Source organism: Homo sapiens, chromosome 2 (genome assembly GCF_000001405.40).
Source record: "Homo sapiens chromosome 2, GRCh38.p14 Primary Assembly".
NCBI lineage: Eukaryota > Metazoa > Chordata > Mammalia > Primates > Hominidae > Homo > Homo sapiens.
Genome location: NC_000002.12, coordinates 15041883 through 15054961, shown reverse-complemented (window position 1 = coordinate 15054961; position 13079 = coordinate 15041883). Strand labels below are relative to the sequence as shown.

The 13079-nt window shown below is 45.2% G+C and overlaps 1 protein-coding gene across 2 annotated transcripts in view, besides 5 other annotated features; it reads left to right on the top strand.

Moving 5' to 3' along the window:
• Nucleotides 1-13079, top strand: part of NBAS (NBAS subunit of NRZ tethering complex) — a 782426-nt gene that overhangs the window by 506373 nt on the left and 262974 nt on the right. The gene's annotated exons all lie outside the window — the stretch shown is intronic.
• Nucleotides 10943-11237: a silencer, noted in NCBI's record as "tiled region #966; HepG2 Repressive non-DNase unmatched - State 21:Repr, and K562 Repressive non-DNase unmatched - State 22:ReprW". NCBI's record gives its function as "represses a minimal TATA promoter and a strong SV40 promoter by Sharpr-MPRA in HepG2 and K562 cells {active_cell/tissue: HepG2 | K562}" and the evidence as "EXISTENCE:reporter gene assay evidence [ECO:0000049][PMID:27701403]".
• Nucleotides 11287-11787: an enhancer, noted in NCBI's record as "H3K4me1 hESC enhancer chr2:15183299-15183799 (GRCh37/hg19 assembly coordinates)". NCBI's record gives its function as "activates a minimal SCP1, AML or CMV promoter by ChIP-STARR-seq in primed H9 embryonic stem cells {active_cell/tissue: H9 hESC(primed)}" and the evidence as "EXISTENCE:reporter gene assay evidence [ECO:0000049][PMID:30033119]".
• Nucleotides 11287-12288: a biological region, named in NCBI's record as "H3K4me1 hESC enhancers GRCh37_chr2:15182798-15183298 and GRCh37_chr2:15183299-15183799".
• Nucleotides 11711-11911: a silencer, noted in NCBI's record as "peak3603 fragment used in MPRA reporter construct". NCBI's record gives its function as "represses an SCP1 promoter by STARR-seq MPRAs in K562 erythroleukemia cells {active_cell/tissue: K562}" and the evidence as "EXISTENCE:reporter gene assay evidence [ECO:0000049][PMID:32103011]".
• Nucleotides 11788-12288: an enhancer, noted in NCBI's record as "H3K4me1 hESC enhancer chr2:15182798-15183298 (GRCh37/hg19 assembly coordinates)". NCBI's record gives its function as "activates a minimal SCP1, AML or CMV promoter by ChIP-STARR-seq in primed H9 embryonic stem cells {active_cell/tissue: H9 hESC(primed)}" and the evidence as "EXISTENCE:reporter gene assay evidence [ECO:0000049][PMID:30033119]".

Here is a 13079-nt window from a genome sequence, read left to right as displayed (position 1 = left end):
ATGTTAATGGACATTCTGAATCCTCAGGAGGGTGATAATCTCAGTCCCAAATTTATTTGGCCAGAAAACAATGTTTCTGTTTTTTGGACTCTCTATTAACATCTTGCAACAAAACTGGTGTTCAGTGGAGCACAGAGTGGAAAGTGCTGCTTGGAAATGATGCTTAAAAGATGCCCTGGAAACATATCCAGGAGGCCCTCATCATGGGCTGCCTTCCAAAGAGGAGAGCATGTGACACATCTGATCAGTTGGCCCGATCTGGAGGTTCTTTAGAAGGAGGAGTGCAAGTGTGTTTCTATGTTGGTCTGAAGGATACAGAGATGCTGATGGTGAACATTCCCAACATCTGTTCCCTTCAATTGGGTACAGTGCACATAAACCATAACGTTATGGAGTTTGAGTCCAGGTTACAGCACTTATTCTGCATACACAAGTTATTTAGGTGCCCAGAGTCTCAGTTTCCTCAACTGGAAAGCGGGCATGAGAAGAATCCTACACAAAATGGTGGCTGTGAGAATGAAAGCTATGTAAAGTGGGCAGTTGTGATCACCTTCTCCTTCTTCAGTGCCCTCCCAAGCCACACTAGTAGATAGTGGTAGAACTTTGCTTAAACTCAAGTCTACTCCCTCTTAGGTTTCAGAAACCAGCAGATGTGGCCTCAGCATTGACTTTGTATTACTAGCTGATTAGCCTTTGGCTTCTTACCTAACCTCTCTGCACATGGCTTTCCTTACCTATGAAATGGGTAGTAATACCTATCTCAAGTTGCTGAAATGATGGAAAGAGAGTGTGTGAAGAGCTTAGCACAGAGTGGCTGTCGCATGTTGAGAAATTAGCAAATGTAGCATGGAGTGCTTCTAAAGCGCACATACATTGAACTGAAGAGTCCTGTTTGGAGGGGATTGTTGACCTCCATGACAAAGCAATGATCTCGATTGGTTTTGGAAACACCACTCCCTCACCCCACCATAATGCCTCAAAAATCTAGTGGCTAGTCCCCCTCTTCTATTTTTTTTTTTTCACAAGGAGGGAAGTAAAGCTGCCTCTTTTGTTGCTAGGATTTGAAGTGTGACTCAGAAAGAAGAGGTGCCTACTCTTTCTGCTCCTTTTCCTTCCTTCCTTCTCTAACGTGTCTTGAGGTAAGTGTGCAGGCTGCCCTAGGCTTCTTTAGATAACCGGATGTTCAGAGTCACATGGTACATCTACCAGTCATGTTTCTTGAATCTTTCTCCACATGGAACAGTTTTTTTTCCACATGGACGTGCCCTAGGCTTCTTTTTGATAACTGGACCCCGAGATCCCCCCGGGTCTGCAGGGGAAAGGACACTAGGCTTCTTTCATCTCCCTTTCTCTGGAGGACTCAGGTCTGGAGAGTTTTATCTGAGAAGTTTAACTCAGACTGTGTCAATTTGGGGTTTATTCTACCTCTCTGAGTTGTTGCTGCTTTCTCAAAATTAGGTGATGGAATATTTTGAACCAAAGAAGAGACTTACAGAACTTCCTGTCCACCTCCCTCATTTTGTGGGTGAACCGAGGCTTAGACCTGGTTCAAGGTCACACACTTGGAGATAGAGCTAGGGCTAGAATCTGGGGCCCCTGAGTTCCTTCCTGCCTTGCCCTCTATGCATGCGATATTATTCTCTTTGACTTTCTATTTCATGGTTAGTATTTTCCTTGTTATCTTTGCTATCTCAGATTTTATCAGATCATTTGTTTGTTGTCCAGATAAGAGGAATATGGCATACCTCTGAAATAATTTTAAAATCAATGTACCTTCTTCTTTAATATCTAAACATTTTAATCATGCTTATAAAGAGCTGCAAATGACATAATTTCTGGCTTACTGTAAACTATTGACATTTTATAGCAAAAATGCTCCATCTCTTCTTTTAATGCATGCACAGGAATGTAAGAGTTATTTTATATGCACCATCATCCTTTAAAAAATACAATACATAAATTATTTTTAACACTTACAAATTTGTTTTTCCTTTCTCTCCTGTACTTTGAATTTCTACTGTTCTTCCCCTTCAGAATTTTAAATTAACATATTTTTACACTTAAAAATCTTTTTGTTATTCACCCTATCATACTTTGAGGATTCCTGCATCAAAAATATGCATATAATTTGAAATTTAAATTTTTAAATTCCCTTATCTATTAAGGCTATTAAGTGTTAACATTGTTTTCTGCATTGGATTGCTATTACAATTATTTTTAATATGCAACTTATCAGAGCAAAATATACATATTGCAAATTTTTATACCTGTTAACTAAATATAAAACATAAATGTCATTGGAAGTGAAGTCTTAGCTGGATTAGGTGCTTTATAGTGTCATGAGTCGATGAGGCCTCTGGACACATGTAGTTTCTTGTTGTATGCTGCAGAGGCAAAGCCACAACATTCGAGGTGAGTTAGGGGCATGTCTTTCTTTTATAGGGTGGGGAAGGGATGGCTGTGAAAGGGGAGGTGGGAGACGACAGCCACCAGGTCATCGTGCCAGCCTATACCGTGGAGTGTTCTTGGGTACAAGTTGAGGAAAGGGTATTCAGAAATCCATGAGTGGGGAGCTGATTCCTTCAACATTCTCTATGCTTGGAGATTCCTGGAAAAGTCTTCTGGTATTTCCAGAGGCATCACACCTGAGTTTGAAAACCACTAGAGTCAAGGAAAATATATGGATATGGTCTTAGTCATAAATGTCCCACTGAAAAGAGAGCTGCTGTTGGGATGCCACATGACCTGTATTCATTTCCCAATGCATTATGAAGCAGTTTTCCTTTTATTGTAATTTTCTATCATGGGATTGCTTAGTTGCTGGGGCTAGATTAAGTGTCACTGTCTATGTTGAACACTAAAGAGACAAAGATGAGTAAAGTCTGGCCTCTGCTCTCAAGATACTCATAGTCAAGAAGGTAGATGAGATAAGTCCATTGTCACTATAATAAGTTATCAGAGTTTTACAGGCAGCATAGAAGGAAGAGAGAACACTTGCAACCAGGGAAAAGAAAGAAAGCTTCCATGGGGAAGAGCTCATTTTAACTGGCTCTTGAAAAAAAAAGAGGTAGGGGTTGAACATTCTGAGACTAGAGAAAGAACATTTATAGCAAGAGGCAAAAAAGACACAATAACTCTGGGTTGTTCCTTAATTGGTCCCTGCCATCTATCAATCACTGACTTGATGGAAGTCCCACGGTGACAGAATGGCATCAAATGATATGTGATAAAATGCCTGAGACAAATATAGGTGCTTTAATTGCAATACGTATTAAAGCCATTAACCTAATTATGGTGATGGTACACTGTGTCTTGCTCTGAAGAGGAATGGTTTGCGATGTAAAATAATAACAGCTTCCTTCTGGCTGCTTACTTCTTGATTTTAATTCCACAACTCTGGGAGGCAGATTTTATTATTATGTCCATATAAAAGTGGAGACTGAGGCCCTTGGAGGGTTAGGTCTCCTGCTCCAAGGTCATAGCTGGTGAATGGCAGAGCTGGAATGTACAAACAGGTGTGTCCACCTTAAAATCCTGTGCTTCTGTCAGCCACCTGCAGCTTGCCTCCTTCTATTCTGTGGCACCTTCATGAAATACCAGTGTAGCTATAAATTCCACACACATTTCACCTGGCCAGCTCCCTGCACACAATTCTGTTCAGGTCACTGATTGAGGTGTACTGGCTCTGCGGCTGTTATTCACAGTGGTTATGACAGGTTGGGGTGGCTGCTTAGAGAACAGACAGCCGAACAAGAGGCCACAGTCTCAGGAACAGGCAGATGTGGGATGTCTTCGTTGTTCAGCCACCAAATAATCGTTGAGTGCATCCTCCATAATTGATTCTCTCATTCACTTATTGAACAAATATTTATTGAGACCCCATTAATTTGCAAGACTCTCTGCTAGGTACTGAGAAATGGAGAGAAAAGGATAAGTAATATGCTGAGCAGCTTACTGGGTAGGGGAGAATTCAGACAAGGAGACTCTTGGCACTACTGTGAGGAGGAAAACCAGGGCTGGGCAGTCACCCCCCAGTCCCCTTTCCTTGCATTTCTATCATTCTCTCCCTCCTTCCTTCAACCTGGTCTCATTTCATCCCTACAGCTCTGTGGTAGGCATCATGATTTCTGTTTACAGACACAAGAACTCAGGCTCAGGTTACAGAACTTGCTCAAGCGTGCAGATTAGAGGTGGAAACCCAGATGGAACCCGGGTTCCAGGCACCCAGGGCTGGGGCCTGTCAGGCTGTCACTCTGCCATCAGCTGTATTTGCACAAACCCTTCTCATCCACGCTGGCCTGTAGCCCAGCTCTAGGGCTCCAGAGGGGAGTATGCTCCCTAAGATGCTGCTGAGATCATCACTGTCTGCTGTGGTATCACAATCCCTGATTGCAATCCCAATTCTTTCATCTGAGCCGAGTCATCAGTATCCCATTTCATGTGTGTGTCATATTCAAATACTTTGCAGCAGAATTGCTGTGCTTAATGGTGGGATGCTGCCTGAGACCTTGCTGGGTGTGGTTTGATATACATTATAGGCACTCCATTCCCTTCTAAAATTAGGAAAATATTTAACTTTGAAGCCACAAGGGTTTTGGATAAAGGACTGTGGACCCATAGCAGAGATTGGATCTGGCGAATGAAAAAAAGGAAAGAAGAAAGAAGGAAAGAAAAAGAAAAAAAGAGAAAGAAAAATAAAAGAAAGAAAAAATTTAAAAAAAGGATATATACCATGTAGTGGCGCATGGGAGGGGAACTTCTTTTTGGTTCGAGTGTGCTGGGATAGCTTCAGGATGACGTTGCTGAGCTGAAATGGGAGGGAAGTCAGAGACCTCGAGTGGTTGAAGAAAGCTAGATTTCTGGTTAACTCACAGGTGACACAACTGAGGTTCAGAGAGGAAACGGAATTTGTCTGAGGCCACATATCTTGTTCAAATTACAGTTGTGCTAAAATCCAGGTCTTGGGGCTCTCAGGTCCCCAAGTCCCCAGCTGCATGGCCGAGGGCAGCCAGCAGATACCTGCGGCTAGCATGTCCTGGCTTGACATGCGCACCTGGACAAAGCTGTGTTCCAGCTTTTGTCTGCCTCTGTCACTCCCCAGGCTCTTGCCTGGCTTCCCGGCCCTGTCGCCAGCTTGTTTACAAGGCCCCCTGGAAGCTCCCCTGGCTCAGTGGCTGAGGGCAGGGTGCGTGGCTGGCCTTGTGGTCCCCATGCTGGGACACAGTGGGCACTTGTCTCCATCGTCTGACAGCAGCCCCCGAAGGAGCACGAGGATCTATCTGGCCCTCTTTCTGGCTGCTCCCCTGCCCCTCTGGGCTGGGAATTCAACACCATTTCCAAAAGAAAATGGCCTTGAGTTTCCTGTTTTAGATTCACTAGCCTGTCTGCTGACATCCTGGGAGGAGAGTTGTTTAACAGCCCCTCAGGAGCCTCCACTGCTCAGCAAACCCCTCCTCTCCCTATCAAGAGCTCAGAAGGGCCACATCAGGAGGCCTGGGGTCCCACAGGTGATGAGTCACTGAGCCTTGACCAAGTAGCAGGGACCTCCAGGCTGCAGGAGGTGGGCACAAGCCCAGAAGGCAAGGCCCCAGAGAGGACAATGACAAATGAGAGGAGGCAGCCCAGCAGGTGGTGGCATGTGGGAGGCCTGGCAGGAGCCAGCAGTGGTGGCCTTGCAGGTGGCCAAAGCCTGACTCAGGGAGTCCAGGAACAGGTGCCACCTGAGCTCTTGGCAGGCGGGTGACTGGCTTCAGGGAGCTGGGGGTGCAGGTGGAAGGGTCGCAGCTGCCGGCCTTGAGTCCTGGACCAAACTGGTGTATGAGGCATCACCCCAGGTTTGGAAAAAGCCTCAGCGGCAGCGAGCAGTTCACAATTCCTTAAATGTCACCTCCTCTCTCCACCTGCCTGCAAAGTCCCTTCGCCTGGCTGACTCCTGGTCTTCCTTGGAGATTCAATGTAGGTGCTAGTTCCTTTAAGATGGCTTTTTGGCCTGGCCCCTGCTCTGGACTGGGCTGGGAGCCTCTCCTGGGTGCCCCAGTGCTCCCTTCTCTCTGCCACACACTGACCACAGTGCCTCACTCCCAGTGATTGGCCTAGACAGCGAGCTTGTTGATGGAGGGACAGTGTCTTGTTTGGCTGAGCCCGCATGTGCAGGACAGCACCTGGTCAGTGCAGGACTTGGGGATATGTGTTGAGTGAAGAGACTGATGCAGGGCCAGGAATCAGGACTGAAGGAGTTGCTTGTGGGGAGCGTAGTCTCAGCAAGAAGGAAGTAGCTGTCTTGTTAGAGCCCAGTCCCAGGTCAGGACAGTGGCTGCAGCCTGGCAACTCAGTGGTGGTCTCTGGTTATTGAGCCCAGTCCCTGCCAGCCTGGCCTTGGGTGGAGCAGGAGTACACACTTGACTTGGGACTGAGGCACAGGTGGTTCTCAGCGTGAGAAGAAGGACCCAGTGTCTTCCCAGGCAAAGCCTGATACCATCCCACTTCCTGGGACCGGAAACAAGGCCACCATTTAGCACTTCAATCCTTGGAGAGGAGGCCTGGGGGCTGAGCTGATGGAGAAGGTGGCATGGCATTCTTTGAAGTGGACAGAAAGAAAAGATGCGGCTGTTTCCCACCTGGGCCTGGGTGTGTGCCCTGCACATTGGACTTTGCAAGCAGAGAGAAAGAGCATCCGGCACGGATGGACTGGAAGTGGAACTGCACGCAGGGCCTGCTTTGCCTTTTTGCCTCCCCAGCCTTGCTGTCCCCACTGCAGGGTCATTTTATTCCATGTGCCAGCTCATTCCTCTCCCTGCCTCTAGGGCTGCTCTTGCCATCAGTAGTGCTTGGTGCTTTATAGCTCCAGGAGAGTGCAGGGACAATGTCTGTTTTTCTCCCTGCTGTTTCCCCACTGCTGGGCAGGAGTTCTCGGCCCAGCAGGAGTTCTCCACTAGCCATTTGCTGAACGCAAACTTAAACAATTGTGACTCAGTTATTGATTTCATACTGTGAGCCAGGCACCAGCCAAAGCAACCGATGAACGTTTTCTAATTTAGACTTCACAAAATGCTTTGAGGTCAGTATCCCCATTTTACAGTTGAGGAACCCAAGGCAGAGAAGTTAGGTAACTTGCCTGACGTCACACAGCAAGTGATTAGCAGAGATGGGACGGTAATCTAGGTCTGCTTGCTTGCAGAGCACATGTTCGTGTTCTCTCCTATGGTGCACAGGCTGCTCCACCTGCATGGGCCCAGCCTGCACTTGCACGGGCCCAGCCTTTACCTGTATAATCCCAGCTTTTACCTGCATGAGCCCAGCCTTCATCTGCACAGGCCCAGCCTTTACCTGCATGGGCCCAGCCTTCATCTGCATGGGTCCAGCTTTTACCTGCATGGGCCCAGCCTTCACTTGCACGGGCCCAGCCTTTACCTGCATGGGTCCAGCCTTCATCTGCCCGGGCCCAGCCTTCACTTGCATGGGCCTAGCCCTTACTGGCATAAGGCCAGCCTTTACCTGCATGGGCCCAGCCTTTACTTGCATAAGCCCAGCCTTTACCTGCATAAGCCCAGCCTTCACCTGCAGGGGTCCAGCCTTCACCTGCATAAGCCCCGCCTTCCTGCGTGGGCCCAGCCTTCACCTGCCACTTGGTTTGCCTCAGCCAATGGGCCTCTCCGTCAGCACCACATCTCTGCAGAGGCAAGGCTGAGGCATAGAACCTGAACCATCTGTGCCTCCTTCTCCCTTGTTCACTATATTCAGGCAATAAAACAATTCATTCTCCTTTGCATTCATCATGTGTTGCAAACCTCTGTCTCAATCCTATTGCCAGCAGGTTAGGCAGGACCCTCATCACTTAATCTCTAGGCTCTACTGCCTGAATCAAGCTCCTTGCTTCAATCCATCTTGCTTGAAAGACTCATCTTTAGGAAACATCTCTGCTGCTCAGAAACCTAGAGTGTAAACTTCCCATCTGCCTGGCCTAGCAGTCAGAAGTCCCACCAGCAGGCCCGTGGTGTCTTGCTGCTCCCCTGATGATGTTGACTGGACCAGTTATAGGTCTTCCTGGAGCCCTTTTGCTGTGATTCTGTGCCTCTGCCTCTCTTCTCCATGCTGCCTCTCTGAAACCGACCCTTGAAGGCACAGTATTCACCTGGGGAACATTTACTAAGACCAGGCCCCCATCTTAGAGTTAGTCATTAATTAAATTCATGCCCATTCACCAGGTTCCAGACTCTAGTTAGTATGCAGTTGGCCAGAATAACTCTTTTTCCCCGCTGCCTGCAACTGACTCAACTTTCTTCTTCTGTACAACTAATTAAAAGTGAACTAAAAATAAAACCACTCTTAGTATTAAAGTGGCAAAAAAATATATAAAATAAAAATAGAGTGACTTCCCCACTTCCTCACAGCACCAGCCACTTCTTGTTATTCCAGAAAGGGAGTTTTCTGTCCTTCTTAAAATTATTCTCATTATAATTGCTTCAGGAACCTGAAGAGTAGTGTTCAAAGTTTGTGTTTGTTGGGTCTAAGTGATAATCCTCCCAAATTCTATAATTATGTGTGTACAATGATTAAAAACATTTCTTGGAGGTTGATATATATTGAGAGATTTTTTATATTCTTAAAAATGTTTTAAGACTATATGAATTGGAATATGACATTCCAGTTAGAATAGATTTGTATCTCATTCAAATTAAGCCTTAAGAACTAAAATAAAAATTAGCTATGAAAACATACTGAATCCAGCTTCCACCCCAGGATGTAGAGAGATGAAAGGAGTATTACTGCCACCTTTGCAATGAAAAAGAACTGGGCTTATTTCAAATGCATGACTGCTTTTGAAACCATTGGAGAGCTGAGGTCATGAAGGTAATGACTTGTGAGGAGTCTAAGGAGAGACAGTGCCTATGGGAGAGAAAATATGAACATACATTCACCTGAGATAGACACATGAGTAGCAATAGTTCAGCTGGAAGAGCTCACTAATTGGTGAAAGCTGAATGTGGACTGATGGGACACAGGGAAGCCCTGGGTCTGCTGAAATTAGGGGGTACACACTCTCTTACAGGCTTTGTCTACAAACCTTTGTCTTCAAAAAGAAAAGCAGTAAGTGTTGGCAAGGAGGTAGAGAAAAAGAAACTCTTGTAGACTGTTAGTGGGAATGCAAATTAGTATAGCCATATGGAAAACAATATGGAGGTTCCTCAAAAAATTTGGCGTAGAACTACTTTGTGATTTAGCTCCAATTTCCAGGTATATACCTGAAGGAAATTAAATCAGCACCTCATAGAGATATCTGCACTTCTGTGTTCATTGCAGCATTATTCACAATTAGCCAAGGCATGGAAACAACCTAAGTGTTTGTTGACATATGAATTGATTAAAAAATGTGATGTATATATACAATGGGACTGGATGTATATATATGTATATGTATACACCACATTTTTTTAAATTAAAAAAACAAAACAAAACAATCAAATGAAAAAAGTTGGGAAAGACATTTTGGGTGGCAAAATGGGAAGCACTTCTGCATGCTCTCTGATAACAAAATGAAACACTGCAAGGCCACTCCAACTGCACCATGGGCAGCCATGTTACTGGTGGTTTGGAAAGTTACTGCCCAAACATGTGCAAAGAATGGCTTCTATCTCTGTGCTTCCTCAGCATTTTGCTCAGATCTCAGCGTCAGCTCCTCTCCCACTGTTCTGGAATACTTATTCTCTTCACTGTCGCCCTGTTGGACTGTGAGCTCAGGATCATGTCGCATTGTATTTTTAGATCCCAGCACAGTGCCTCACATGGCGTTGGTGGTCAACAATAGCTCCCTGGATTGATTTGTCTGATTTGCAGGCTTCAGAAATGTTGGGAAATACATGACAGAGATTTTGATATTTATTTTGGGAGGAAATCATATTTAGAAATTGATCAGTCTTTGCTAATTGGTCAGAATGGGCTCTTGCCTTTGAAATCTGATTTTGATACACCATCCCTTAGGGAGTTTCTATTAGCATATGACATTTCGTTGTTGTGTGCTAGCCTTACCCCAATTATGTTTTGGTACTAGCAAATGTATTTATGTTTTATTTCAAACAGAAGGCTAAATGTTCAAAGCACTGTCTTTATATGGGAATCATCCTGATGCCTTTCAGTGAAAAATAATGGCCAGATTGATCAGAGGCATGAAAGCTAGGGTAACTCCTCACCTCTTTATAGTTGTTTACAATTTAGAAAATAAGGCCACAACTATCATCTCTTTTAACCCTCACAACCATTCTGTGAGGTGAGCAGAGCATAGATTATAACCCCCATTATGCAGAGGAGAAAACAGAGTCTTATCTAAGTGACTTGCAGAGATCTGAGTCAGGTCAAAGACTTTGGAGTTTCAACTCATAGAGTCTCCTCATGTTCCATGGCCACTCTAGGAAAGAACCCTGACATTCTAGTTGTTTTGTGAAATCTTAATTCTATACTCTGCTGAGCCCCTTGTCAGTATGCTTTCCTGCAGATTGTGTTTATTTTTCTATCTTATGAAAAACCTCATTAATAGGTTTTGCTGTTCATTCTTCTGTGTGTGTAATGTCAATAGGCTTGAGTATAGCTGAAATAATTGGACCGGGGGGTTTCTGAGCTGGGAGTTCATTGTCAAGTCAGCTGTCGCTGATTCTTTATCAATGTGAGAGAACTCAGCCATGCAAAGACCTTTCCCTGCTACTTACCTGCAAATCAGGCAGCATCAGCATATTAGCAGGTAGTCTTACAGAATGCAAATTCTGTCATTTAGAATCTAAGTAATTGGAAGCACAACTGGGGAATTGTCTAAATTGTATATTTAAGCAAAAAAAAAAAAGTTTTTAAGTTTTCTCTCTGTTCAGCCTAACCCTTTATTAGTAAAAGTCCATGTGAAAATTTGTTTTCTCTTCTATGAACTTCATTCATTGATTCATTCATTTATCCATCCAGTCAATCAGCATTCATTATTCGTCTGCTCTGTACCAGGTACTGGCCCATGTGCTTGGGAATAGAAAGGTTACTAAGAGGATCTCTGCCCGAATGCATCAAGTTTTCAGGCAACAGACAGAGCAGGGCTTTTTACAATCCCCGGGAGCCCTGGCAGGCTAGTGTGGGGATGAGTCAGAAGGCACCCTCCAAGGTGAGATGCTGAGTTGAGTGCTGAGGGTGGGCTCACTGGTAGAGGCCCACTGGTTCCTGGCAGAGCTAGACTTAGAACCCAGGTTTTCTAATTGCTGGGAACATTTTAATCCCTTAAACCTTCAAGGCCTCCTTAGCAAAGAAATCCTGGTGTGATTAAGGGGGAGAGGGCAGGATTAGACTTTCTGGCACAGCAAGTGAAGGCAAAGGCTCAGGCTTACCATAGCACTTGGAGGCATGTGATGCTGTTTAAAATTACTGAGGTTTAGGAAATCACAGCAAGGGGCGAAGAGTCAGGCAGATGCCAGAGCCAGGACAGTCCTGTGTCCTGGCCAAGATGGTTGGACCTTAGCTTGCAGGTCATGGATGGATATGGATGGGCTTTTAGCAGAAATGTGACATGCTCAAACCTGACTGTTAGAAATTTCCTATGAAAGACAAGATGGGCTAGGACAGAGACAGGGATAATGGAAGTGGCACAGCTCAGCCTGAGATCCTTGGAAGGTGGAGGCAGCAGGACTAGGAGCCAAGCTAAACGTGCAGGGGTCCAAGACGCACAGGGAGGCAATGTCCCGGTTTTTGGTGCCCACAGGCTGTGTGACCTTGTGTAACCTCCAATTCCTCATCTGTCAGATGAGTCTAGTGACTCCTACTCTGCCTCCTCACAGATTACAGAGATGACCCAGTGACTAAGCGAGGAAGGGTGCTGTGTAAATGGTAAAGTGCCGTTAAGTAGGATTTGTTATTATTATGTAAATCGGGGGTTGGAGAACTATGGCTCATGAACCAAATGTGACCTACTGCCTGTTTTTGTAAAGCAAGTTTTACTGGCTGGCAGCCACAGCCGCTTGTTAATGTTGTTGTGTATGGCTGCCTTCTTACTACAAGGCAGAGTCAAGTCGTTGCATCAGGAACCATGCAAAGTCATTGCATCAGACCGAAGTCTGAAATATATACTAGCTGGCCTTTTACTGCAAAAGACTGCTGCTTTCTGGTTTAAGTCATGGGCTGTGGTTTTGCCAAATTTAGTTATTAATTGGTGTGTGAAGATTCCAGAATCTCTCCATTTATGGATTTGAGTCCTGTTAGGCAGGCAGCCAGGGCTCTTTTGGGTGTCTATCTTCCCTTGGACCTGGCAGTGAATGATTTCTCCTCTAAGAAAGGGGGCAGAGTGTCTTCACAGCCCTGCCATCCTCATCTCTCATTGAGAACACACAGGGAATATGCTAGTTTCAGTCTGGGTCATCCCTCAGAAGAGATGCAAAGAAGACCTCGCCAATGGGCTTCCTGTGAATTTCTACCTAAGCCCTTGGTGTGCCCTTTCTTCTCTCTCCTTTCCTGGTAGTTATTTTAGCCTGATTGTTGTTCATTTCACTTATTTTCCAATTTCCTGGATCGATTTTGTTTCTCTACTTCCTTCTCCCAGCAATTTTCATTCTTCTGTTACAGTTAACAGCCTCTGTAATAATAAGTAGAAACCAGACTAAATTATGGTCATTACTGCCCAATGCTTAGCTCCAAGCCAGCACATGACGTTGTCACTTTTGGGGTTCAAACTACCCTTGACATCTCTTTGCATTTCTTGCTCTGAGGATGGCAATTACGCACTTACAGGCAGAGAAGAACGGAGGGGAAAGGCCACTGGCCACCTAGGTTTGCCTCCTTCCTTGCCATTGCCTTTCTTACAAAAGAAACCAATTTGGACTCCGTTTTTACATGAGGCCTCCAGCAATCCTCAGTTCCAGAAATATCAGGAGGATTTAGAAGCTGCATGTGCTATTAAATATTGTCCATGTTGAAAGCAAATAGAGGAACATGTGAAGCACAAACACGTATCACCTTCATTTCTCACTTCACTTTGACTCGCTAAGACGAAGTCTGCTCCAAAGCCTACTTGGGAACGTGTGCTCTCAAGCCTGAAAATGGCCCCATCCTCCCAGGCCTTA